The 27,810-nt window shown below is 39.5% G+C and overlaps 2 protein-coding genes and 2 pseudogenes across 24 annotated transcripts in view; 2 read left to right on the top strand and 2 right to left on the bottom strand.

Moving 5' to 3' along the window:
• The window catches only part of MACROD2 (mono-ADP ribosylhydrolase 2), a 2,057,682-nt gene extending 2,040,879 nt beyond the window's left edge, over positions 1-16,803 (bottom strand). For all 3 annotated transcript variants that reach the window (NM_001351661.2, NM_001351663.2, NM_080676.6), the window contains exons 1-2: positions 16,510-16,803; positions 9,915-10,031 (exon numbers count right to left, since the gene is read on the bottom strand). In NM_001351661.2, coding sequence (NP_001338590.1) covers positions 9,915-10,031; positions 16,510-16,555 — 163 coding nt within the window. In that variant the 5' untranslated portion in view covers positions 16,556-16,803. The remainder of the gene's footprint in view (positions 1-9,914; positions 10,032-16,509) is intronic.
• On the bottom strand, positions 8,619-8,810 carry RPS3P1 (ribosomal protein S3 pseudogene 1; annotated as a pseudogene).
• The window catches only part of SEL1L2 (SEL1L2 adaptor subunit of SYVN1 ubiquitin ligase), a 146,087-nt gene continuing 135,262 nt past the window's right edge, over positions 16,986-27,810 (top strand). For 18 of the 21 annotated variants that reach the window (NR_073206.2, XR_937162.2, XR_937159.2 and 15 more), the window contains exon 1: positions 21,705-21,842. Coding sequence is in view for 13 of the 21 variants with exons in the window: in NM_001271539.2 (NP_001258468.1) it covers positions 21,785-21,842 (58 nt within the window). In the remaining 8 variants the exon portion in view is untranslated. Of the gene's footprint in view, positions 17,297-21,704; positions 21,843-27,810 lie in introns of those variants that run through there. The other 3 variants (NR_073207.2, NM_001363752.2, XM_047440521.1) reach the window with 1 other exon arrangement.
• On the top strand, positions 22,424-22,495 carry TRE-CTC10-1 (tRNA-Glu (CTC) 10-1; annotated as a pseudogene).

Raw genomic sequence — 27,810 nt, 5'->3', positions numbered from 1 at the left:
TATGACAACTTAAAGCATTAAGGAAGATGAGGATCTAAAGCTGAAGAATTTAATGCCAGCAAAGGATGGTTTGATATGTGTTATAAAGAAGTCTGTCTTAAAATATGTCACACCCTGAGTACGGTGGCTCACACCTGTAATCCCAGCACTTTGGGACGCAGAGGAGGGTGGATCACTTGAGGCCAGGAGTTCCAGACCAGCCTGGCCAACGTGGCGAAACCCCATCTCTACTAAAAATACAAAATTTAGCTGGGCGGGGGTACATGCCTATAACCCCAGCTAACTGGGTAGCTGAGGTACAAGAATCACTTGAACTTGGGAGGCGAAGGTTGCAGTGAGCTAAGATCATGCCACTGTACCCCAGCCTGGGCGACAGAGCGAGACTCTGCCTTTAAAAAAAAAGAAAAGTCGCAATAATAGTAGAAAAAGCTACTGTTGACCAAGAGGCAGAAGGCAAATTCCCAGATGCCATTAAGAAAATCATAGGGGAGGCCAGGCGCGGTGGCTCAGGCCTGTAATCTCAGCACTTTGGGAGGCCGAGGTAGGCAGATCACGAGGTCAGGAGATCAAGACCATCCTGGCTAACACGGTGAAACCCTGTCTCTACTAAAAAATACAAAAACTTAGCCAGGTGTGGTGGCGGGCGCCTGGAGTCCCAGCTAGTCGGGAGGCTGAGGCAGGAGAATGGCATGAACCCGGGAGGCAGAGCTTGCAGTGAGCCGAGATCGGGCCACTGCACTCCAGCCTGGGTGACAGAAGCAAGACTCCGTCTTACAAAAAAAAAAAAATCGAAGAGAAAGAATATCTACTTGAACAGGCTTTTTAACGCAGACAAAAGTGCTCTATTCTGAAGGGGGGGAAATGCCACAAAAGACATTCATTATTAAGGAAGAGATGCAAGCACCAGGATTTAAAACAGGAAGGGACAGGCTGTTTTACGCAAATACAGTCAGGTTTATGATCAAAGTTGCCCTCATTTATAAGGCTGCTAACCTCCAAACCTTGAAGGAAAAAGATAAACACCAGCTGCCAGTCTTTTGGTTGTACAAGAAAGGCCTAGATAATGAGACGCTGTGCTCCTATCAGGAAGCACCTTGCCAGTAAGGGACTGCCTTTTAAAGTTATTTTGAGGTTGTACAATGCCCCTGGCCACCCAGAACCCCATGAGTTCAACACCACAAATATCAAAGTGGTCTACTTGCCCCCAAACACAGTATCTATAATTCAGCTTCTATATCAGGGGGTCATAAGGACCTTTAAGCAGCACTACACACAGTATTCTATGGAAAAGACTGTGAATGCTATGAAAGAGAACCCTGATAGAACATCATGAAAGTTTGGAAGAATTACACCACTGAAAATTCCACTGCTGTTATAGAAAAAGCCATGAAAACCATCAAGCCCAAAACAATATTCATGCTGGAGAAAACTTTGTCCAGATGTTGCACATGGCTTCACAGAATTTATGACACAGTCAATCAAGGAAATCATGAAAGAGACTGGGAATATGGCAAAAAGGGTAGGGGGTGAAGGGTTTCAAGATGCAGATCCTGGAGAAATTCAAGAGCTAACAAACACCAGGTCACCAGAGGAATTAACAGAAGAAAACTTGATGGAGATGAGTGCTTCCAAACCAGTGCCAGACAATGAGAAAGAAGACATACCAGATGCAGTGCCAGAAAACAAACTGACATTAGACAATCTGGCAGAAGGGTTCCTATTATTCAAGACTGTTTTTGATTTATGACATAGAACCTTCTATGACATAGGCACTGAAACTAAGCACTGGAAAAAAGATTAAAGCATTGGTACCATACATTTTTAGAGAAATGAAAAGGCAAAAAAGTCAGACAGAAATTACAATGTATTTCTGTGAAGCTGCATCACGCATGCCTGCCTCCCCCTCTACCTTCCCTCTACCTTTTCTGCCTTTGCCACCCCTGAGACAGCAGGACCAACCAGCCCCCCATCCTCCTAAGCCTATTCAATGTTAAGACAATGAAGATGAAGACTTTTGTGATGACCCACTTCCACTTAATAAACAGTAAGTAGATTTTCTCTTATGATCTTAATAGCACTTTTTCTCTAGCTTCCTTTATTATAGTATGTAATACAGATAAACATGTATAAAAATATGAAATATAAAGTCTTTCTAAATGACCAAATTTTTTTTTAATTTCCAACTTTCATTTAAGTTCAGGGGTGCATGTGCAAGACACACAGCTTTGTTAGACAAATAAACGTGTGCCGTAGTGGCCAGCTACACAGATCAACCCATCACCTAAGTATTGAGCCCAGCATCCATTAGCTATTCTTCCTGATGCTCTCACTCCTCCCATCCTTACCTTCTGACAGGCCCAGTGTGTGTTACTCCCCACAATGTGTCCATGTGTTCTCATCATTCTGCTCCCACATAAAAGTGAGAACATGTGGTATTTGGTTTTCTGTTACTGCGTTAGAGTTTGTCGAGCATAATGGCTTCCAGCTCCATCCGGGTCCCTGCAAAGGACATGATGTTGTTCCTTTTTATGGCTGCATAGTATTGCATGGTGTATATGTACCACATTTTCTTTATCCAGTCTATCATTGGTGGGCATTTAGGTTGAGTCTATGTCTTTGCCATTGTGAACAGTGCTGTAATGAACATACGCCTTCTTTTATTATCTTTATAATAGAATGATTTATATTCATTTGGGTGTATACACCCAGTAATAGGATTGCTGGGTCAAACGGTATTTTTACCTCTATGTCTTTAAGGCATTGTCATACTGTCTTCCACAATGGTTGAGCTAATTTACATTCCCACCAACAGTGTATCAGTGTTCCTCTATAACCTCGCCAGCATCTGTTGTTCTTTGACTTTTTAATGATAGCCATTCAGACTGGTGTGAGTTGGTATCACATTGTGGTTTTGATTTGCATTTGCATCATTACTCATTAGTGATGAGTAATGTTGAGCTTTTTGTCATATGTTTGTTGGCCACATGTATGTCTTCTTTTGAGAAGTGCCTGTTCATGTCCTTTGTCTATTTTTAATGGGGTTGTTTGGTTTTTTCTTGTAAATTTAAGTTCCTTATAGATGCTGGATATAAGACCTTTGTCAGATGGATAGATTATAAAAATTTTCTCCCATTCTGTAGGTTCTCTGTTCATGCTGAGAGTTTCTTTGGCTGTGCAGAAACTCTAGTGTAATTAAATCCCATTTGTCAATTTTTGCTTTTGTTGCAATTGTTTTTGGCATCTTCACATGAAATCTTTGCCCATGCCTAGATCCTGAATGGTACTGCGTATGTTGTCTTCCAGGATTTTTAGTTTGGGGTTTTACATTAAAATCTTTAATCCATCTTGAGTTAATCTGTGTATAAGGTGTAAGGAAGGGGTCCAGTTTCAATTTTCTGCATATGACTAGGCAGTTTTCCCAGCACCATTTATTAAATAGAGAATCCTTTCTCCATTGCTTGTTTGTGATCTCCAGGTTTGTCGGAGATCACATGGTTGTAGGTGTGCAGACTTATTTCTGGGTTTTCTATTCTGTTCCACTGGTCTATGTCTGTTCTTGTACCAGTCCCATGCCATTTTGGTTACTTTGGCCTTGTAGTATAGTTTGAAGTCAGGTAGCGTGATGCCTCTAGCTTTGTTCTTTTTGCTTAGGACTGTCTTGGCTATTTGGGCTCTTTTTTGGTTCCATATGAATTTTAAAGTAGTTTTTTCTAATTCTGTGAAGAATGTTGATAGTAGTTTAATAGGAATAGTACTGAATCTATACCCTGCTTTGGGCAGTATGACCATTTTTGTAATATTGATTCTTCCTATCTATGAGCACGGAACGTTTCTCTGTTTGTGTCCTCTCTGATTTCCTTGAGCAGTGGTTTGTAGGTCTCCTTGAAGAGATCCTTCACTTCCCTTGTTAGCCACATTCCTAAGTATTTTATTCTTTTTGTGGCAACTGTGAATGAGAGCTCATTTGTGACTTGCCTCCCGGCCTGCCTGTTTTTGGTGTATAGCAATGCTAGAGATTTGTATGCATTTATTTTGTATCCTGAGACTTTGCTGAAGTTGCTTATCAGCTTGAAAAGCTACTGGGCTGAGATGATGGGGTTTTCTACGTGTAGGATCATGTCATCTACAAACAAAAATAGTTTGACTTCCTCTCTTTCTAGCTGAATACGCTTTACCTCATTCTCTTGCCTGATTACCCTGCCCAGAACTCCCAACACTATCTTGAATAGGAGTGGTGAGAGAGGCCATCTTTGTCTTGTGTTCGTTTTCAAGGGGAATGCTTCCAGCTTTTGCCCATTCAGTATGGTATTATCATAGATGGCTCTTTAAATGACCAATTTTTAAAAATATTTTATACTTGAGTATAAGATAATTTTATAATTTTCACCTAACTCATCCTCATTATTATTTTATTTTTCCCCTATTGCTGTTCTGTATAAACATTAAAAGTAATTACTCAAAAAGACAATCTAAACTTATAGCCATAGCTGCTTTCCCTGATACTAACCAGTCAGAGAAAATTAGCATAAGCCTGGCAGAGTCTCTGCCAACACTACTCCATCCAAAAAGTGTAACAATAACATTGCTTCTCTAGGTGGTATTCTAGTGGAGCCTTAACACAGTAGTAGGAAAGGAGATTAACAGAAGGCATAACTATTAAACCCAAGAACTAGAACTCTTGTCTCAACAAAGAAGTAATGCCATCTTTCTATCATATCTACCCATCCACCCATTTATATATCTACCTTTGTCTTTCTACCATATCCTGGGCCTATTGTTTAGTAATTCTATGTATTTTATATGGGAGCTATAAATACATGCACGCGCATGCACAAACACACACGTATATGCCTCCTTTGTAGACTGTTAACCACTGGGACATTCTCATTTAATATACATGTTGAGAGGGAGGAAGAGGGAGGAAGAGACAGAGAAGAGGAGAGAAGGAAGGGGCAAATTGAAAATGATAGTCAAAAATTTTAAAAAAAGGACTCTTTGGTCACCTGTGGAGGATTTTAGGGAATGAACTCAATCTGAAAATCAGTAAATAAGGGAAATATGGCATTTATTCTGCTTTCCTTTATAAACCGTACTGCATAATAAAAGACTTAATAACAGAAAGTTCCTCTTTATAGAAGTCTGACAAATAAATAAGGAATGATAAAATTCACATACCACTATTTTGCAACCCCTAATAACGTAATGGATCTAAGCAATAATCACGAATGGCTGCTAAAACCATTAGGTAAAAGGTTGTCAGAGAACTTTACACCAGACAGTTTAGTGACAATATTCAGCTGACAATACATGAACCCAGGGATCAATCTTATCACTACTGAGGGAGACAATGACGCATTATGTGCCCTGTGATATGATGCAAAAAGATGTACAATAATCTATAAAGCATTATTTCAAAAAAATTTAAACCCCACTCTGAACAAACCTCTGGATTTAACTACCAACTCATAAGAAATAAAGGGGACAGAGGAACATGTTCAATGATACCACAGAGATGCAGTAAGCAAAATTCAAAATATAAAAAATTCTGCAGGACAGCCTAGTGTATTCAACAAATAAATTATAAGGGAGGAAGGAAAAAAGGACAGAGAAAGGTAACTATAGATTAAAAGTGACTTAAGGAACAAATCAATTAAATGCAATATATGGACCTTGATTAGATCTTGATTCAAGCAAATCAATTGTAAAAGAAAAAATCCTTTATGAGACAATGGGAAAAACATGAATACTAAGTGGATATTTAATTATATCAAAATTAAATTTTAAGTTAAATTTTAAATGTGAGAGGTAATAATAGTATTTTAGTAAAACAACAAAAATATGCCATCTTTTAGAGATACATACATATGCATATACACAGATACTCATTTATAGATAAAATTTATATGACATATGTGATTTCATTCAAAATAGTCTGGGGGGAAGGTATAGGGAGCACTGGTATAGATGAAATAAAATTGGCCGTGTAATAACTGTTGAAACTGGGTAATGGATGCATTGCTACAGTCAGGCATTGCTTAACAATGGAATACGTTCTGAGAAAGGCGTTGTTAGGTGATTTCATTGCTGTGCAAACATTGTAAGGTATACTACAAAAATCTAGATGGTACACAGTCTATACACACCTAGATTATATGGTACAGCCAATTGCTCCTAGGCTAAAACCCATACAGCATGTTACTGTACAGAATACTGTAGGCAACTATAACACAATGGTAAGTCATTGTGTATTTAAACCTACGTAAACACAGAAAAGGCATAGTAAAAATACAGTATTATAATCTTATGGGACCACCATCATATATGCAGGATGTCAATGACCAAAACATCATTTTGTGGCACATGACTGTATTCTAGCTTTACATATATTTATAAATGCTCATTAAAAGTTTGGAAAAAGAGGCAGGTGCAGTGGCTCACGTCTGTAATCCCAGCACCTTAGGAGGCCAACATGGGCAGATCACTTGAGGTCAGGAGTTCAAGACCAGCCTGGCCAACACAGTGAAAGCCCATCTCCACAAAAAATACAAAAATTAGTCAGGCGTGGTGGCACGCATCTATAATCCCAGCTACTCAGGAGCTCAGCAGGAGAATTGCTTGAAGCCAGGAGGTGGAGGTTGTAGTGAGCCCACATCGCGCCACTGCACTCCAGCCCGGGGCACAAAGTAAGTGAGACTCAGTCTCAAAAAAAAAAAAAAGTTTGGAGAAAGAATTGTCCCTTGTAGATTATTAACTCTTCAGGCATTCTTATTTAACTTACGATTAAGCCCCACCAACCCATAAGGCACCATTCCAGGTGCTAGAGACAGTACAATAGGAGAGACAAGAATTTTAAAATCCCCACAACATAGCAACTGACAAATGATATTGAATTATTACATAATTGGTAACACAGAGGAAGAATTAGAAATATGTAAGTCTAGAAATTAGCTAACAACAGTTAATAAATATGAACATAAACAGCAAGCAAATTATGTATTTAATGGGTTTTTCTGGATGGGGTTTTTGTTTTTTGGGTTTTTTTATTTTTATTTTTTGGTAATCATCTCCCATTCTTTCCTCTTCCAATCCATGGCTTTCCAATATTACCAAAGGGGTAAGTCAAAATAAAACTTGCTTCCCCCTTTCCATATAAACACTGATTTTGTGTTCCTTGGCAATATTTTGTTTCCTTTTGTTTCAAGAAGGCTTAAAATCCAAATTGTTACAAATATATTTGGCTGCTCCCCTCTTTTTTATTTAACTTTCTATTGTATTATAATAACAAGAAGCATTTGGTTAAAGTAAAATAAATCTGAACAAAGCAAGAAAAAAATTAAAAGCAATAGCTCAAGAACTATTCAAGTACTCAGGAATATTTAGGCAAAAATGGTCCTCTATAAAAACGTAAGTAATGATAAGATATTAAATTTAAAACTGATATACTGTTCTAACCCGATAAATATTGTTCATTTCCTATAATTAGAAACTAAGTGACAAGGAATTATAGAATTCTTTTAATACTTAGTTTAAAATCCCATATTTAATAAATATCAATACCTACTTATACATGTATAAGCAATGACTTAAAACGTTTCAAATATAACCATATGTATAGTTTTCCTTTATTATTTTTTGTAAATTTATATTTTTAAAGGATTTTTAAACTGTTAAAACACTAAAACTCTCTTGACTAATATTTTTTAATAACTGAGCACTGAATAGGTAACACAAGAAAAAGTCATATGAAAAATGTGTATTGTATATAAATATTTACAAATATTACTTGTAAAATGAGCCATTCCACTTCATGAAAAAGGAAGAGGCCATTCACCAGAGTCTGGGTCACAACAGAGAGAAGCAAGTAACATTTCAGGAAAAATAGAAATATAATTTTGATCACATCACCTTGTTCCCCATGGAGGACTTTCAAGTTTAAAACAGCATAAGGGGGAAAATAAGAAACACACAGAGCAGTTGTAACCACTTATAAAGCTCATATTGGGAGGCAGGATTAAACATGCAATATCTTGTTAGAGGATAACTATGTTAGGTGTTATTCTATTCAATGTATTCTTTTCTAATTTGGGGAACATTTACTACAGGTTGAGTAGTCCTAATGCAAAAATTCAAAATCCCAAATGCTCCAAAATCTGAAACTTTTTGAGCACCAACATAATGCTCAAAGGAAATGCTCACTGGAACATTTTGGATTTTGGATTAGGAATGCTGAACCAGCAAGTATAATCCAAACAATCCAAAACCCCAAACACTTCTGGTCCTGTGCATTTTGGATAAGGGATACTCGACCTGTAGCCATTTAAAAAAAAGAAGAAGATAGTGCTGCTGCTGAAATATTCAATACCAGTTGCTTATAAACAAAAAAAGAAATTACTGAGACTCAAACATGAAGAGGCACATAGCCTTAGGTAAGACAGAGGACCAGAATTCTGTTCTCCTGATTTCTAGCCCTGTATTCTTTTCATTACACAGCACTCTCCTCTCTTTCAATGATGTCTTAACCAGACCTTTTTTTTTTTTAACCTTTGTACAAGATTTTATTAAAGGTCTTTACAGAGCAACAACCAGACTCCAGAATACAGCTGCCAAGGAGACCCTGTTACACTGTGGGGACTGGCTAGGGCAATGCAGGTGGCTCTGGCTTCCCACCCTTCTGTTCTGAGACGGGGTGGTGGGCAGCAAATCATCTTTGGGTTCCATGATGCTCACGTGATCAGGCAGGGGCTTCTTAAGGCCAATCTTATCAGTTTGGAATCAGACCATTCTTAAAACAACTTGCATTTACAGAAGACACTGGGCAGACAGGTCAGATGTGCACATCCCAATCAGCTTGTCCAATGACCCCATTAGAACGTGGGGTAGAGCTGCTACCCCGCTTGCCCAAGGTCACACGTTTCCAGGCTACGTAAGGTCTAAAAGAACCCACAGCTTTTCACTGCTAATCCCACATGCTTTGCCTTTCTAGAAAAACAAAGTTGTGTCTAAAACCCAAATCCTCAGGTCAATGTGTTCTCTTCACAGACACCAAGGCCTAATCTTTCCCTTCAGATTTTATCCATAGGAATTCCATGCTAGTCTTTATTCTGGGCCCATAGTACCCGGTGTAGTTCCATCGATCTAAGACCACAACCTTTGAAATTAGCATGTTTCAAGTCCATTTCATAAAGTCTTTCTCAACTGTTAAGCACCTTAAGAAGCACCGTTTGTCTAAACTTCACATCCAGATCATTAATACCAACGAGTGTTAATTCAAAGACAAGCATATTAAACATCCATTAAATCTATTATGTTGTTTTTAGAAACTTTTTCACGTACCTTTTTAATCCTTAAAACTTCCTTTATATTCTAACATAATCTAGATTCCCACCAAATCATAAAGACTTTGAGAGTAAATTCTGTCATACAAATACTTTACATACAGACATAATAACACATCATACAAAATATATTCTCTAAAATAATGAGAAATGTTCTTTGGTTTTTCTATTTTTCCTAATATACTCTCTCTTTCAGCTGTATCCCCAATCCTAAAAATAACATAAGATAATCGATTATAAATGAACTTAAAGCAAACTCAAAGGGCCACACCACCAAAGCAGCAAATCTCTAATAGCATTTGCTCCAAGAACTGTTACAGAATAGAAAAAATAAAAAAGGACCTGTAAAAAAAGTACCATATTATAAATGTGGTATATTTCAGAACACAAATTATGTTAATATACTTTCCTAAGTTTAAAAAACACCGTAGGTTACTAAAAACAATTAAATCACAACCAAACAATAATTTCAAATAGCAAAATAGTAATCTCTTTATTGAACGCCAGTTATTCATTTCTGTCAACAATTGTCCTAAAATGGGAAAAATATCTACCTAAAAAATGTTCCGAGAAACTTACCATCATTTTGGCCCTTGCCCTTCATCTCCTCCTTCCATGATAGAATGCTGTTCAGGGGAATATAGTCTCTTAGGTATTCTTTGCGTCTCTCTTCTAAGGTCATCTTCAATAAACGTTCTTGCAAAATAAAAGCAGAATCTCCATTTGTATTTAACGTTTAAACATGGGAATTATTTTTATACTTTAAGTATTAACCAAGTTAAGCTAACAAAAGAGTTGATACAGTCCTGAAGAACACAATGCAAATCCAGTGACTCCATATTTAAATGTTAAAAAATGTTAAATTTCATATTACCAGGGGAGAAAAAAATCAAAGCCTGATGAAGACTCTCTTATGATAGTCCAAGAAATAAGTAAACTCATTTACACTTTCAAGCAACATCTACAGTTTACTATGGGCCAGGTGATATGCTGGATAAGTGATATGGTTTGGATATATATCCCCTGAAATCTTATGTTGAAATGTAATCCCCAATGTGTGACATGGTGTCTAGTGGGAGGTAATTGGGTCATGGGAGCAGATCCCTCATGGCCTGGTGCTAGCCTCAAGATAGTGAGTTTTCGTGAGATCTGGTTGTTTGAAAGTGTGTGGCACTTCCCCCCAACCCTCTCGTGCTACTGTTCTTGCCACGTGAAGTGCCTGCTCCTACTTCATCTTGCCCCGTAAGTAAAAGCTCCCTCCGCTTCATCTTGCCCTGTAAGTAAAAGCTCCCTGAGGCCTCCCAGAAGACCTAACAGATGCCAATGCTATCCTTGTGTTGCCTGCAGAACCATGAGTCTATTAAACGTCTTTTTTTTAATAAATTACTCAGTCTTAGGCATTTCTTTACAGCAACTGCAAGAACAGTCTAACACAGTAAGATACAAAATAGTATCTATATAAATAAAATGCTAAGACAGGTATGTACAAATAGTAAGAGCACAAAAAAAGGCAACCACCAAGATATTTCCTCAACTGCACTATCAATTTACTTACAGCTTTGTGTAGATGATATAAGAATTGCTTTAAATATATATATCTTGACGATAAAATGAAAATATTTTACAAATTGCATCTTAGAATTAGAGTGGATGTCATTTATAAAGAACTCACTATGGCCAGGTACTTCACATGTATATCTCATTAAAATAATCTTCCTAATAACTCATAAAATTGATAGTATTATTATGCCAATTTTGCAGATAGGGAAATGAAGCACAGCAAAGTAGTTTGCCCAAAGCAAGAGAGGTTTCAGGAAGTGAGCCAAAATTAAAATTCAGACAAACATCTCCATTAATCAAAGACTACACCCTATGTTATTTATTCCACTGTACTACACTACATTCTCAGGAAAACTCCCCGAAAAAGGTAATATGTATGCTGCTTCACAAAGGACAGGAAGAATTTTGCATGAAGAGGTAAAAAGAACATTTCAGACTAACAAAACAATGTAAACAAAGGAGGTATGAATACTATAACTAAATGAAGCTGCAAGATATGGTATGAGAAGAGGAATGGCCACAGAAGTGAAAAGTAGCCGGAAACAAAAGTAAAACAAAACTGTACAGGGACTTGTATGCCATAGTGAGCAGTTTAACCTTTATCCTATAGACTACTAATATTGAAAGTTGATTATGCATTTCCCAGAGGGTGTATAAAACAACCCACTAGGACACAGGAAAACATGCAAATAATTCTATTTACATTCGTTTTTCACCTAAACAAGGAAGAAATATTTACCAATATTCAATGTATAAACTGACACTGGCTTCTTCACTCTGTATGTCAGCTTTCATGTCTCCCATACCATACCAATGGTCTCCACGATGTAGAGAGTGAGAGAGAGAGACAGTTATTTCTCATACTCTGCAATTCTCTTTCAGTGTATCACAAGGTACTGCAGTTTAGATAAATGGATGCAGGGATAGTTAGTATCTAGTTTAAGGTAATCTAACCTTCAAAAAATAACCACTTTAAAAGACTATTTCACAGAAATAAACTACAGAAGTATTAATGTAAGCACAAGTGAACAGAAAATGGGGAACCAATATTTTTCCCACTCCTATAACTAGAACTTCAGCCACATTAGGAGACAAAAAAAAAAGGTATCTTAATCAGAGGTGACATATTCACAAAAATTGAGTTTAAGGTACCTATAGGACATTGAAGAAGTTGAAATCAAGAATCTGGAAATTTAAAGAGTGGTCTAGCCTAGAGACTTTAGAAAATATAACCTAAAATTCTAGTCCTAAAGGAAAAAGAAGAGGGAACGGAAGGAAGCATCAAACCTCAAAACACAGTATTTAGGAAGTGGGCACAAATAGGAAAACAATGAAATAAATCGTAGTTGTCACCATGGGTGCAAGTTCCTGGTACAAGGAAACATTCAGAAAACAGAGTTGTTTTTTTCTTGAGACAGAGTCTTGCTCTGTCACCAGGCTGGAGTGCAGTAGCGCGATATCAGCTCACTGCAACCTCCGCCTCCTGGGTTCAAGCGATTCTCCTGCCTCAGCCTCCTGAGTAGCTGGGACTACAGGTGCACTAAGGGAAATACCACAGACTGCTACAGGAAGGTCAGAAAAAGTGAAAATTACTTAGCCATTAACCTGCTTTTATCAATGTGGTTACCAACAGCATGGAATAAAGAGGAAAAGTGGTTAACAGAGCTGTTTGAGTTGTAATCTAAATGGTGCAAATCTGTAGGTTACTTAACCTCTTTATGTTTCAGTTTCCCTTCGAGGTAAGTAGGCAGGTATTATTCCCAACTTATAGATAAGGAAACTATAAACAACGTCAAATAACTTACCTAAAGTACCACAGCTAGTTAAGCAGTATAAGTAGGACTCAAACCCAGGCAACTGGTATTCAAAGCTCTTAACCTCACAATATTTCGCCTCATATAGTTTCCTACCTCATAGGGTTGTTGTGAGAATTAAATGAGATAATCCATGTAAGCTACTAAGAATAGTACTGAGCATACAAATGGGGCTTAAATATTAACTATTCTTACATGAATACTATCATGACTGTTACTACTGAATGACTTCAGGAACATTAGTTTCATTAGAATATAACGGAAATCCAGAAGACAATGAAGGACTGAGCAAAAGAAGGAAAGTGAGAACAGCAACTCCAAGTTCACGTGAAGCCCTATGAAAGAAAAGTGACTCTAAGGTGGAAGAGATCCGAGCACTGTTACAGGCAATGGAGAGGAACCTGAAGACACCAAGAAATTAAACATACCCAAGAAAGAATACATGATGGTGCAAGAACTCAAAGAAGATATGGGATAAAGAGCACAGCAGAAAGATTCATCTTACACACAAGGAAGAAAAGTCCTTCCTCTAAGATAGAACAAAGTCAAAAGGACATGTAAAGGAACAGACCAATGAGACTATGCAAGAGGATGTTAGGGCTGTTCATATTACATGGCATTTATTTTCTCTGTGAATTTTTTTTTTTTTTTTTTTGAGACGGAGTCTTGCTCTGTCATTCAGGCTGTAGTGCAGTGGCGCGATCTTAGCTCACTCCAACCTCTCCCACCTGGATTCAAGCGTTTCTCCTGCCTCAGCCTCCCGAGTAGCTGGGATTACAGGCGTGTGCCACCACGACCGGCTAATTTTTTGTATTTTTAGTAAAGACGGGGTTTCACCGTGTTCCCCAGGATGGTCTCAATCTCCTGACCTCATGATCCACCCGCCTCAGCCTCCCAAAGTGCTGGGATTACAGGTGTGAGCCACCGCGCCTAGCCCTTCTCTGTGAATTAAAAAGGCAATGTCATCTCTTTAGTATGGGGGATAGGGTCTTGAGAGAACAGGAAACTTGAAGGGAATGGTAAATTTAGAATTATCACATAAAGGCAGAAAAGGGAGATGATTAGCAGTATGCCAAAGCAGTGCTAAAAAAGCTCAGATCACAAATAAAAAATTATTACAATATTACTGAGCAGGTTAAAAGACATTATGAAGCAACTGACAGTTTTTGTGAATGTCAAAAGGTACATACAGAAATGCAACCTGGCCTCTGTTGTTCCAGTTATTTAAAAGTTGAAGTGTGAACACTTAAAAACGAGATCAATTTAAAACAAAACAATGAAATAAGTTGCAATACTTGAAAATGCACATTAGTGGTTCTGAATTAGGACTCAAAATACTAGATCAAACATGTTTATTTAAACATATGTGGTCTTCAGAACTCCTTAATTACTTGTTTAAACAATGAAACATACTGGAGGCCACAAATATATATGCATTTTCTTTGTCATTTCATAAAACTTTTATTTAAAGAATGCTTCACCTTTACAATGAGTCCTTTCTCTGTGAACCAAGCAATTAAGTAGGCAGACCTATTTATTAAATGGTATACTGAGTTAAAAATATGTTTATAGAATGCCTTGACATTTCAATGAGGTAGGTAAGCCTTCCTTTAGCTTTAAAGGACAGCTGCAAAAATACTATACCATCAGCTTCCCAGTGGGCTGAAAGGAAAAAGGTCATGCATCCCATCAGCTTCTCTAATACTAACTATGGTACTAGAAATCCTTAGCTCTTCCTTGGGGGTATAATATATATTTTATATTTAAATATTCCAAACATAGACATCCTGAAAAAAAGAAACACTGAGATATGCATTAAAGTCTTCGTATCGCAGTAACGTTTTCCTTTAACATTAAACTTCATGCAAAAATAACTTAGTTTTGGATAATTACTTGTTAATTGCCTTATTTAATGGTGCATTTGCTTCCTTAGGAAAAAAAATTGGTTATATATTCTCCATTATTAGAAGAAAAGAAATCAAGACATTAAAAAAGATTCTAAAATGCCTGCTGGTCACAGTCCAACTGTGTAGATGTTAAATGAAGGAAACATTATAACGTTATTACTTGAGGAACACTGTTTTTCTATTATGACAGAAAAATAGTTCTTAAGTACTCACTATAATTTCATCAATGATTCATGTTACTGAAAACAATGTCTATGTCTTCCACTGTTTTGCCCTCATTATCATCAATTATACAAAGCGAACATTTCAGCATCATCAATAAACATGGGCATAAATGATTTTTCAGTGCTCACAAGGCAAATCCTTGTTGAAAGTGTGTTGAAACTAAAGTAACTACTACTGAAAAAAACAAAGCAAAATTATTTTACACTACTTTATCTATCAGGCTATTACTCTCGACAGCATTTGATTTATAACACCAGAAGTGTTAGCTCTCTATAAACCCATAATTATTAAAACATAATTAAATGACTAAACTTTCAACATTTTTAAAGATCATTTTAATTGTGTTGTTCGGTTCTATTATTAAATCTTCCTGCAGTAAATTTGAAAAAAAAAATTCCCTCCTCACGCCTTTGTTCGTGCATTGTGGAAGCCGATCCTATATAGTGGATTCTTTTTCCACATTAATTCCCTTTCTTACCTCCACTGTTTTGCCTTCGTGTTCATAAAGGCCGGGACTTGCAATAAAAATCTACAGGTTTTAACGAACTATTAACAAGGAAATCAACTTGATACCTAGTCACCCCTATATCCTTTTGTAAAGATGAGGTACCAGGAGAAATGCGCACTACCCTCAATAGACCTCACCCTTGCTATACAGGTTTTAGTTTATTTTAGCAATAGGAGTGCAAGAAGTTTTTGCTACATTTCTGTAAATAGCTAAAGAATGAAAAGGAAAGAGGTGTGAAAAGGAGGGTGAAAAACGCCAGAGACACTCAAGTTAGAATATTACCAAACTGTGATGGGATAAGCGGGAGATCTTGGTGGGAGACGCTGGATCGTACACTTGTGTTTCTTAAAGAATCAGTGCCACTGTCAATCTAGCTGATTTAGATAAACCTTATACGCACAAAATTCAGAGATGGGTTCATACAGAGTGACATTAGTCACAAAATCTTACTCTGAGCAACTTCAGCCCATGAATGGGGATGGAATACAGAGAAACACACTGTTGGGAGAACAGCCCATTCAGACTTCTCTGAAGGCACTTATCCTCACGGACAACACGCTCGTTTTAGGGCTCCCCTAGAGTTCCAGGTTTCAAAAGTCACGCTGCGGCAGCGAAGGAAGGAAACCTAGACAAGGGGTAAACACCCGATGGTGGGTACGCTTTGCCATTCGGGGGCTGGGGGGACAGGGGCGAGAAGGAAAGAAATGAGGGTGCACGGAGCGCGGAGGCACAGCGGCAGCTGCAGCCTGAGCGCCCGCCGACGGGCACCTGTCCGCGGGACACCCAGGCCGGCAGTGCCCAAGTCCCAGCTGCGGTGCAGAGGAACTTGTGCCGCGCCCGGGGCTGCCGCCTGGGGGTCCCCGCCGCAAGCGAGGCGAACGCAGCACCGCCTCGGGAGAAGGTGACGGGGTGCCGAGGGCAACAGAGAGGGGCGTGCGCCCACACGTGCGCGAGCTGCAGGTGCCCAGGGGCGGCGCGTGCACGCCGGAGTGCGCGCGAGTGTGCGCGTGTGTACACACGGACACCGGAGGGAGGCGGCACCGGCCGGGAGGGCGCGAGGCGGGAGCTCGGGCGGAGGGCGCCGCGGCACACACAGCCTGACCCCCGCCCCCACCCTAACCCCCACCGCCCGCACCCCCAGGACTCGACGGGCCGGTTACCTTTCTCCTCTCTCCACACCTTTTTCTTCTTGTTGCTGGGGTACATGTTGCCGTGGGGGTGGCTGGCTTTAAGCTGCAAGTTCCCCAGGCTCACGGGCAAACAGGGTGTGTGTGGAGTGGGAGGGGTGGGAGGGGGCACTCAGCAGGGAAAAAGTGAAAGAGGCTCTGCGTCCTGCGCTGCTCGCCGCTCGCCGCTCTCCAGTCGCCGCCCTCCTCCCTCAGCCCGCGCTCGGCTCCGGCTCCCACCCGCCTCAGCCCCGCGGACGCCGCCACAGCAGCACCTCAGAGCCTGTCAACTAGGTCACGCCTCGCGCTAACCTAACACCCGCGCAGGCACCGCCTACCAGCCGCTAGGCAGCGCCGCCTCCCATTGGCTGCACTGCCCGCCGCTCTCCGTGTTCTAGCCACGGCGCGCCCCAACTTGGGCCCCAGGGCGCACGCGCAGGCGCAGGCTCGGGCTCGACGCCGACGACGCTAGGGAGCTGGAGGGGGCGGAGCCAGGGAGCGAGGGGGCGGAGCCAGGGAGCGAGGGGGCTGGAGCTGTCCTCGAGACGTGGGCGCGGCGTGAAGCCGACGCCTAGTGGGAGAGGGAGGTGGACCGCGCTTACCGCTGGCCTCTTGGAAGACTTGAGGGCGTGGCCTGTAGAGCCAGGTGCGCCAAGTGACAGGCGAGCTAGCGGAAAGCCGCCTCAGGGACTTGGAGGATGTAGAAGTGGGAGGAGACCGAGGGTCAACACGAATTGTCCGTGCTCACTCCAACTGCCCTGTTGAGGAGGATTTTCACCAGGTAATCTGATGCTTTCCTCTGGGTGGGCAACTAAAAAAGACCAAAAGAAATGAAAGTATTGGCAAATGGTTCCACATCGTATGCAGTTGGCTCCTCAAACCTGTAGTGAAAATTACAAATTTCATTGGAATTTGGTGAAGTTTAGAAAGAACAAATGTAGACTGCGATACTCAAGACGGTTTTAAGAACCAAGAAGTTGCGGACAACCAAAATGTTATATTGAAAACACGTCTTACGTCAAAACAAATCCAGATGCCTGTTAACCAGAGCCGAGTGGTCTTACTTTATTCTACCAATTGCTTAATGTTAAGACGCAGGTCCAAAAAGCTGGCTTGATTCTGGATAATACTCACCTGGCGGGTTCTGAAAATCCAGTTTCACTAAAGTCCGCCACATGAGTAGGGTGACCTATAATTTAGAAGTTTGGTACCCTCCCCCCAAATTTGTTGTGTTTCTATATATCAGATCATCTTCAAGGCTAATTGAGTGGATGTTGTAAATCCACATTTATTTGGCAGTTTGGGTACTTGTTATATATATTGGGCAAATAATTATTTGGAACACATTTTTAAAAAATAATAGAAGAGAAAAGGAAGAAAGGGGGGAGGCCCCAAAAAGAATTGTAAAGAATGGAATATTTTTAGTAGTAGGACACTCTCATAAGGATGATTCACAACATGGTAAGGTAATTTTTGTTTTGTCTTTTTTTTTTTTTTTTTTTTTTTTTGAGGCAGAGTTTCACTCTTGTCCCCCAGCTGGAGGGCAATGGCTCCATCTCAGCTCACTGCAACCTCTTTCTGCCAGGTTCAAGCAATTCTCCTGCCTCAGCCTCTGGAGTAGCTGAGATTACAGGCATGCGCCACCATGCCTGGCTAATTTTGTATTTTTTTAGTAAACATGGGTTTTCACCGTGTTGGCCAGGCTGGTCTTGACCTCCTGACCTCAAGTGATCCCAAAGTGCTGGGATTACAGGCGTGAGCCACCGTGCCCAGCCTGTTTTTCTTTTAATGCTGTGAAATACGAAAAAAAATAGATTTGGGATAAATAAAGAAGGCTTCAAGAAGGAAGTGACATTTGAGCTAGTAATAAAAATATGTACTTATTTATTGGCACTAGAAATAGAAAGAGGTCTTTGATTAGAGACATTACCAGGGAAGAATAAATAAAACCTGATAATGCAATAGATTTTGAAAGAAAGGTGAGGAAGAAAAGAAAAACATTTCATAGGATGGGTAAGGGGGCAAAATAGCAATGCTAATATTAAGCAATATGGGAACAGTTGCAGATTTTGTAGAAAAGATATTGACTTCTTATGTAGAAATGTGAAAGGTAAGACAAGTACATCATACTAGACACCTTCCCTTCAACAGAGAAGCTGTTTGCACTCCAGCCTCCAGCCAGTCCTTCCACATGTGCTTTCTTAGGAACATTACACTATTGATTATCTTTTCTTTCATGTCAGCTCAAAGAACTGGAACTTTTATTGTGTGAAAGCACATTAAAAGTATGTAGAGGGCATTTGTTCCAGCATTTAGTATTAATCACTCTGACAAAATACCATTATCATTCAAAACTGTTAAATATTTAACATCCCTAAAGTACTTGAAATGTGCCGTGTACCAAACTGAACTCATGCTCCTTCTCCCAGTTTTCCCCATCTCTTCGAATGGCTCCATTACCCGTTTAGTTGAAAAATCTGGAAACCTAAGCACCATCCCTGGTACCTCTTATAACTTCACTCTCATATCAAATCGGTTGCTATACCTACGCAATTTTATTGAGCGGTCTGTATAAGTCTGGAATCACTACTTTCCAACAGCATTGCAGTAAACTTAGTCTGAATTTAGCTGGACTATTGCAAAGACTTCCTAAGTGGCCTTCATGCCCACTGTTGCCCCTCTTCTGTCCATTGTCTAGACTGCATCTAGTGATACCTTGTCAGAAGTGATCACGTCTTCTCACTTCTGTAAGTCATTCAATGACTTTCTGGTGGTCTTTACTATGGACTGACTTACGTGCACCCAAAATTCATATGTTGAAGCCCTAATCTCCAATGTGACTAAATGTGGAGATTAGGTCTTTACGAAGTAATTAAGTTTAAATGAGGTCATAAGGGTGAGTGAGGTTAATAGGACTGAGGCCTTATAAGAAGAGGGAGATCTCTTTCATCCTCTCCTCCCACCCCCTTTCCCTGCTATATGAGGACACAGCAAGAAGGTAGCCATCTTGCAAGCAGGAAGAAGACCCTCACCAGAACCTGGTCTCAGATTTCTAGCCATCAGAACTGAGAAAATTAATTTCTGCTGTGTAAAGTCACCCAGTCTATATTATTTTGTTGCATACAGGCTAATACAGTCTTTTTATAACAATTAAATTATTAAGAATGGAGTGACTATCACCTACTAACCCAGCCTTATTTTATACTATGCTCCATACCACCCCCATTCCCCAGTCTCTGATTCCAGCCCACAGAGCATCATTTCATGTTCTGGAACACCATATAGCCTTTTTCTTTTTTGAGACGGAGTTTCACCCTTGTTGCCCAGGCTGGAATGCAATGGCGCGATCTTGGCTCACTGCAACCTCTGCCTCCCAGGTTCAAGCAATTCTCCTGCCTCAGCCTCCCGAGTAGCTGAGATGACAGGCATCTACCACCATGCCCGGCTAATTTTTGTATTTTTAGTAGAGACGGGATTTCACCATGTTGGCCAGGCTGGTCTTGAACTCCTGACCTCAGATGACCCACCTGCCTCAGCCTCCCAAAGTACTGGGATTACAGGCATGAACCACGGCACCCAGCCCACATAGCCTCTTAACATGTTCATTGCAACACCTGGGACATGATTTGTTTAGCTGACTCACTCTCGTTCTTCATATTTCAGCTTGAACATCACTCCCTAGCAAAGCCTTCCCTGACTCTGACCCTACCTGACCTTTGTTTGCCGCTTCCCCTTATATGCCTTCATTGCTCATTGATTTTCCTATAAAGAAGTTTGGGTTTGTTGTTGTTGTTTTGAGATGGAGTCTCACTCTGTCGCTCAGGCTGCATTGCAGTGGCACAATCTCTGCTCACTGCAACCTCCACCCCTCAGGCCCCTGGCCCCAGGATTCAAGCACTTCTCATGCCTCAGCCTCCTGAGTACCTGAAACTACAGGCGCATACCACCACGTCCAGCTAATTTTTGTATTTTTAGTAGACACGGGGTTTCGCCATGGTGGTCAGCCTGGTCTCGAACTCCTGGCCTCAAGTAATCCAACTGCCTTAGGCTCCCAAAGTGCTGGGATTACAAGTGTGAGCTGCCACGCCCAGCCAACATTAAGGATCTTGAGAGAGAGAGAGATTGTTCTGGATCATGTTGGTGGGCCCTAAATGTAATCACAAGTATCTTTATAAGAGGGGCACAAAGGGAGATTAAACTACAGAAGGCAAGTGATGACTGAGCAGAGACTGAAATGATGTGGTCACAAATCAAGGAATGCTGGCAGCCACTTAGAAGCTGAAAAATTCCAGGCCAAGAATGGATTCTTCCCTGGAGCCTCCAGGAGGAGCTAGCCTTGTCTTTGATTTTAGCCCTGTAAGAATGGTTTTGGAATTCTGGTCTCTAGAACTATGAGAGAATAAATTCCTGTTGTTTTAACCCATTACGTTTGTGGTAATTTGTTATCACAGCAATGGGAAACTAATAAAAGGAATAAAACTGTAAATTCAAAACAATAAAATGTCTATTTCTAAAGTAATGACCTGGACAGACTGTAAAAGTTGGATATTTTTTGTAGGCATAATTTCTCAACTAGCTCTGTGCCTTGGATATTTTTAATATTTATATGTTTTCCCTAAATATTCATTTTGATTTCTCGTAGCTTTGAAGGTACCACTTGTGAGATGTCTGTATTATCTGAGGTATGTAAAGACATTGTTAAACAGTCTTTGTTTGCCTTTGTTCCAGTAAATCCTCAGCAGTTTCTAACTGGAAAAGAGGATAAAGATTTTCATCCAGATTGGGAACAAAGCAGACTTGGCCCATTGTTTCTTTTCCGCCATAGCCTAGAGATACCAGCTTACAGGATGATGTCAGATCAGTTCATGTACCTTAATTGTGTTTTTACATAAGTGTAGTTTGTACCTCTAGAGGCAACATAAAAATAAGAACTTCCAGCACCCCTGAACACAGTTGAACGTGTGGACACGTACGAGTCGGACTTCTGGTCCCTTCCTTTCATGTTAGAGAGCCACCCCTAATTTCTAGCCTACCCCTTATCTTCAGCCAGAGGAATAGCAGTGGATCCTTTCCACAGCCTACATTCTCCAGCAGCTGCCTTCATTCCGGCTTGAAAGGAACACTCTGGCAGCCCATTGGCCCAAGAGTAAGGAAATGGTTGCTTAGCAACTGACTCCTGCCCCCACCACAGTCCCTGAGAAGAGGAGCTCTTGGGCCAATCACCTAGTTTCTGCCTGTGTTACAGTGAAGAGAAGCTGCTTAAGAGAAGATGAAGCCCTTGTCTCTGTTAATAGAGATATTGATAATTCTTGGGGTCACAATTAAAAGTAAGTTTTTTTGTCCTTAGAGTTCTCTATGAGGGTCTCTTCTCTTTGCTCAAACAGCGCCAAGGGCAGAAGCCAATTAAAAGACTAGAAGTAACTTTACTATATCCCTAACTAATGCCATTTTTGTACAGGTACTTTAAAATGTCCAATAAGAATAATAGATGATAATGATAGTCTCACTTGGGATAATACTTGGGAAGGGTGTGTACTTGGGAAGGGTGTGGGGGATGGGGAAAAAACAAATCTATGAGGAAACCACTACAGTAATTGTTATAAAGTAGGGATATTTAGGGCAAGTTGTTAAGTGTTATTAAATTTAGAATATCATAAAGGTCTAGTTCCAAGACTTTAAAGGAAAAATATAAGACTCAAAGAGTGTGAAAGATGTATAAACATGCTTTTTTAAAATATTTACACAATAACAATTTCACTTCCAAAGTTTCAATGTTTCCTAAATAGTTACTATCTGAAAATGGAAGTTATTTTCCATCTTGTTTCTTTGGCCATTTTTTTAGTTACTTTTTACCCAATCCTCATATAATGTGCTCATGATAAATTCAATTTAAGAAATATGTATTTGGTCCCTGCTTGTCTAGTGGTTAGAATTCAGCACTCTCACTGCCACAGCCCAGGTTCAATTCCCTGTCAGAGAAAAGGAAAAAAAAAGAAATATTTGGATTTTACCCAGAAATGTAAGATTGGTTTACCACCCATAAATCAATGTAACAATCACATCAACAGAATAAAAGACAAAGATCACATGATCATTCTAATCTAGTAAAAGCATTTGACAAAATTCAACAGGCTTTGTGATAAAAATGTGTGACAAACTAAGAATGGAAGGAAACTTTATCAACCTGATAGAAGATATTGAAAACCCAAAGCTACTATATTTAATGGTGAAAGACTGACTGCTTCATCCCTAACATCAGGAATAAGACAAGGATGTCCACTTTTGCCATTTCTGTTCAACATTGTACTGGAAGTTCTAGCTATGGCAATTACACAAGAAACAAAAGTAGAAGATATCAAGCTTGGAAAGAAAGAAGTAAAATGATCTGTATTCACAGAAGACATGATCTTGTATACAGAAAATCGTATGGAATCAACTACGAAACTATTAGAACTAATAAATGAGCTCCATAACAAATGCAGGATAAATACAAAAAAAAAGTTCTATTTCTATACAGTAGCAGTGAGCAAACCAAAAATGAAATTATGAAAGAAACTTTATAATAGTATCAAAAATGAACTACTTAAGAATAAATTTTACAAAAAAAGTGTGAAACTCATATTCTGATGACCACAAAAATTGTTTAAAGAAGTTAAAGAAGACTTCACTACATGAAAAGACTTCCCATGTTCATGAATTGGAGAACTTAATATTGGTAAGATGGCAATACTCTCCAAATTGATCTACATATTCAACACAATCTTTATTTATTTGTTTATTTATTTATTTTGAGATGGAGTTTCGCTCTTGTTGCCCAGGCTGGAGTGCAATGACGTGATCTCGGCTCACTGCAACCTCCGCTGCCTGGGTTCAAGCCGTTCTCCTGCCTCAGCCTCCCAAGTAACTGAATTACAGTCGTCTGCCACCACGCCTGGCTAATTTTTTGTATTTTTAGTAGAGACGGGGTTTTATCATGTTGGCCAGGCTGGTCTTTAACTCCTGACCTCAGGTGATTCACCCGCCTAAGCCTGCCAAAGTGCTGGGATTACAGGAATGAATCACACCGCATCTGGGCTTCAACACAATCTTTATCAAAATCCCAGCTGACTTCTTTTCAAAAATTGGCAAACTGGTCTTAAAATTCATATGGAAAAAAATGTTCCTGAAAAAGAAGAATGGAGTTGGAGGACTCACACTTCCCAATTTCAAAACTTACTACAAAGCTACAGTAATCAAGACAGTATGGTCCTGATGTGAAGATAGACATATAGGTTACTGGAATGGAATTGAGAGTTTTACAAGTAAACTATCACACTTATCATCAACTGATTTTTGGCAAAGATGCCATGAAAACTCAGTGTGGGAGGTGCAGGAGGAGATAATCTCTCCAACAAATGGTGCTGGGACAACTGGATAACCACATGAAAAAAATGAATTTGAAAAAAATAAATAAAACAGTTTTTAAAGGCTAGGCACAATGGTTCGTATCTGTAATCCCAGCGCTTTGGGAGGCCTAGGCAGAAGGATCACTTAAGGCCAGGACTTTAAGACCAGCCTGGTCAACATAGCGAGAACCTACCTCATCTCTTTAAAATTAAACCAAAAATAAATAAAAATTCATAAGAATGAATTTGTACCCCCACCTCATACCTCATATACACAAATTAATTCAAAATGGATCAGAGACCTACACATATAGCTAAAGATTTAAAACTCTTAGAAGAAAACATAGGCATAAATCTTCCTAACTTTGGATTAAGCAGTGATTTCCTAGATATGCCACCAAAAGCACAAGCAAAAAAGGAAAAACCAAACTGGATATCAAAACTAAAAACTCTTCTGTTTTGGAGGATATCTTCAAGAAACTGAAACGACAACCCACAGAATGAGAGAAAATTTTTGTGACTCATATATCTGATGAGAATTCAGTATTCAGAGTATACAAAGAACCTTACAACTCATCAACAAAATGACAACCCAATTTAAAAATGGGCAAAGAAATTGGATAGAAATTTTCCCAAAGAAGATGAACAAATGACCAAGCACATGAAAGATATTCAACATCATTGGTCATTAGGGAAATAAAAGCAAAAAGCACAATGAGTTATCACATCACACCCACTAGGATGGTTATAATCAAAAAACAGGAAATTATCGGCCGGGCGCAGTGGCTCACACCTGTAATCCCAGCACTTTGGGAGGCTGAGGCAGGTGGATCACGAGGTCAAGAGATCCAGACCATCCTGGCCAACCAACATGGTGAAACCCTGTCTCTACTAAAAATACAAAAATTAGCTGGGTATAGTGGCTCACATCTGTAGTCCCAGCTACTCAGGAGGCTGAGGCAGGAGAATCGCTTGAACCCCGGAGGCAGAGGTTACAGTGAGCCGAGATCGCACCACTGCACTCCAGCCTGGGCAACAGAACAAGACTCTGTCTCAAAAAGAAACCAAACAAAACAACAACAACAACAAAAAAAAAAAAAAAAAAAACAGTAAATTAACAAATTTTGGAAGGATGTGGAGAAACAAGAACCTTCACACATTGCTGGTTGGAATATAAAATGGTATAGTCACTGTGGAAAACAGTGTGGCAGTTCCTTAAAACGTGAAATATAGATTTATTAGGTTGGTGCAAAAATAATTGCGGTGTTGGCATTAAAAGTAATGGAGAGGCCGGGCGCGGTGGCTCACGCCTGTAATCCCAGCACTTTGGGGGGCTGAGGTGGGCAGATCACGAGGTCAAGAGATGGAGACCATCCTGGCTAACAAGGTGAAACCCCGTTTCTACTAAAAATACAAAAAATTAGCTGGACTTGTGGCGGGCACCTGTAGTCCCAGCTACTCGGGAGGCTGAGGCAGAAGAATGGCTTGAACCCGGGAGGCGGAGCTTGCAGTGAGTCGAGATCGCGCCACTGCGCTCCAGCCTGGGTGACAGAGCAAGACTCTGTCTCAAAAAAATAAAAAGTAATGGAGAAAACCACAATTACTTTTGCACCAACCTATACAATGTGACCTATTAATTTCATTACTAGGTATATAACCAAGAGAAATGAAAACATAATATTCACACAGAAATTTGTACACAAATATTTATAGAAGCATTATTCATTAGAGCTTAAAGGTGGAAACAACCCAAATATTGACCAACAAATGAGTAAATAAACAAATTGTGGTATATACATTGGAATATACATACAATGGAATATTACTCAGCCATAAAAAAATGAAGTGCTCATAGGTGTTACAACTTGGATAAACCTCAAAAACAATTGTGCTACATGAAAAAAGCGAGACAAAAGGTTGCCTATTATATGGTTCTTATTTTATGAAATATCTGAAATAGGCAAATTCATAGAGATGGAAAGCAGATTACTGGATTAGGGAATGGCAGAGGGGAGAATGGGGAGTGACTGCTTAATGGGTACAGAGTGTACTTCCGGGATGATGAAGTTTTGAAACTGTAGAAAGGTAATGGCTGTACAACACTGGGAATGCACTAAATGTCACTTAATTGCACACTTTAAAACGGGTAATTTTATGTTATATGGATTTCACCTCAATTTTTTTTAAAATGTTGCAATGCTTTGGTAAACAGTCTGGCAATTCCTCAAAAGGTTAAACATAAAGTTACTATATGATCTAATAGTTCCATTGCTAGGTATATATCCAAGAGAATTGAAAACATTTCCATACAAAAACTTACACATAAATAGTAGCATTATTCATAATAGACAAAAAGTGGAACTAGCCCAAATGTCCAGCAACTGATGAACAGATCAACAAAACGTGGTATATCCATACAATGGAATACTCAGCAAAAACAACAAACGAAGTATGATATGGATAACCTTGAATACATGCTAAGCAAAAGAAGGTAGACACAAATGGCCACATATCATGTGACTTCCTAGGTATGAAATGTCCATAATAAGCAAATGCACAGAGACTGAAAGTCGGTTACTGGTTACCTAGGCCTGGGAGGTATGGGGCAATTGGGGAATGATGACTAAGGGGTACAGGATTTCTTTTTGGGGTAATGAAAAATGTTCTGTGATTGTGGGATGTTTGCATAAATTTGTGAATATCCTAAAGGCCATTGAATTGTAGAGGGAGAAAATAAATCTTTAATGAAAGTTATACACCAGGAGTATTGGGGATATAAGAATACCTAAGAACAGTCCATATCCTTGAGCAGCTTAGAGTCTCGAAGAGGAAAACCAAAATATTGAATGAATAAATTATAAAGTGTTGTAGGTAATAAAACAGAAGCATTTACAGGGTACTGTAGGGCACAGAATGAGGGAGAGGTCAATTCTAATGGTGTGTGGAGTAGTCAGAAAGGCTTCACAAAGGAAATGGCATAGACAGAATCTTGAAAGATTAGTGAGTGTTCACCAAGCAGGCAAGGGAGAACAAGAACATTTCAGGCCAGAAAAAAGGACCAAAGACACAGAGGAATGAAAGAGCATTGTCTATACATAAGTGTATCAGTTTGCTGTGGTGTAGTATGTAAGAAGCAACTTATGAGGCTGGAGTGGTAGGCAGGGACTTTGTATGACAGGCTATGAAGTTTGGGCTTTATCCTGGGAGCAATGGGTAGTCATTTCAGGTTTACTCCTTGAAGAACATGAATAGAATTATGCCTTAGAAAAATGACTTTGAGAGTAGAATAGTAGCTACTAGATGTGAGGGTTGGGGGAGAGGGGATATCCAACGGTTGGTTAAACTGATACAACAGTATAGCTAAATAGGAGGAATAAGTTCTAGGGTTCTATAGCACTATAGGGTGACTATATTTAACAACAATTTATTGTATATTTTCAAATAGCTAGAAGAGCAGATTTTGAATGTTCCAAACACAAAGAAGTGATAAACTTTTGAAGTGAGAAACATGCTAATTACCCTGATTTGTTCACTACACATTGTATATATGTATCAAAATATCACACTGTGCTCCGTATATGTACAATTATTATATGTTAATTAAAAATGAAAAAAGCAAAAAAAATTTAAAAGCAAAAAATATTTAATAGCAAAAAAAGCAAATATTTAATGCCCTTTAGCAAAAAAGAAAGAAAAAAGGAAAGAAGAGGAGAGGAGGGTGATGGGAGGGGAGGGGAAGGGAGGGAGGAAGAGAGAGAGAAAGAAAGAGAGAGACTTTGGCAGTAGAGGATTGGATGTCACTGTATAACTCTGGTGACAGTGTAACTAGTAGGACATTATTGAATGGTCCAAACAAGAAACAATGAAGACTTAAACTATAGCAACAGCAGTGGGAACTGAGAAGAGTTGA

This window comes from Homo sapiens, chromosome 20 (genome assembly GCF_000001405.40).
Source record: "Homo sapiens chromosome 20, GRCh38.p14 Primary Assembly".
NCBI lineage: Eukaryota > Metazoa > Chordata > Mammalia > Primates > Hominidae > Homo > Homo sapiens.
The sequence above is the reverse complement of the archived record's forward strand: the minus strand, read 5'-3'. Positions and strand labels throughout refer to the sequence as shown.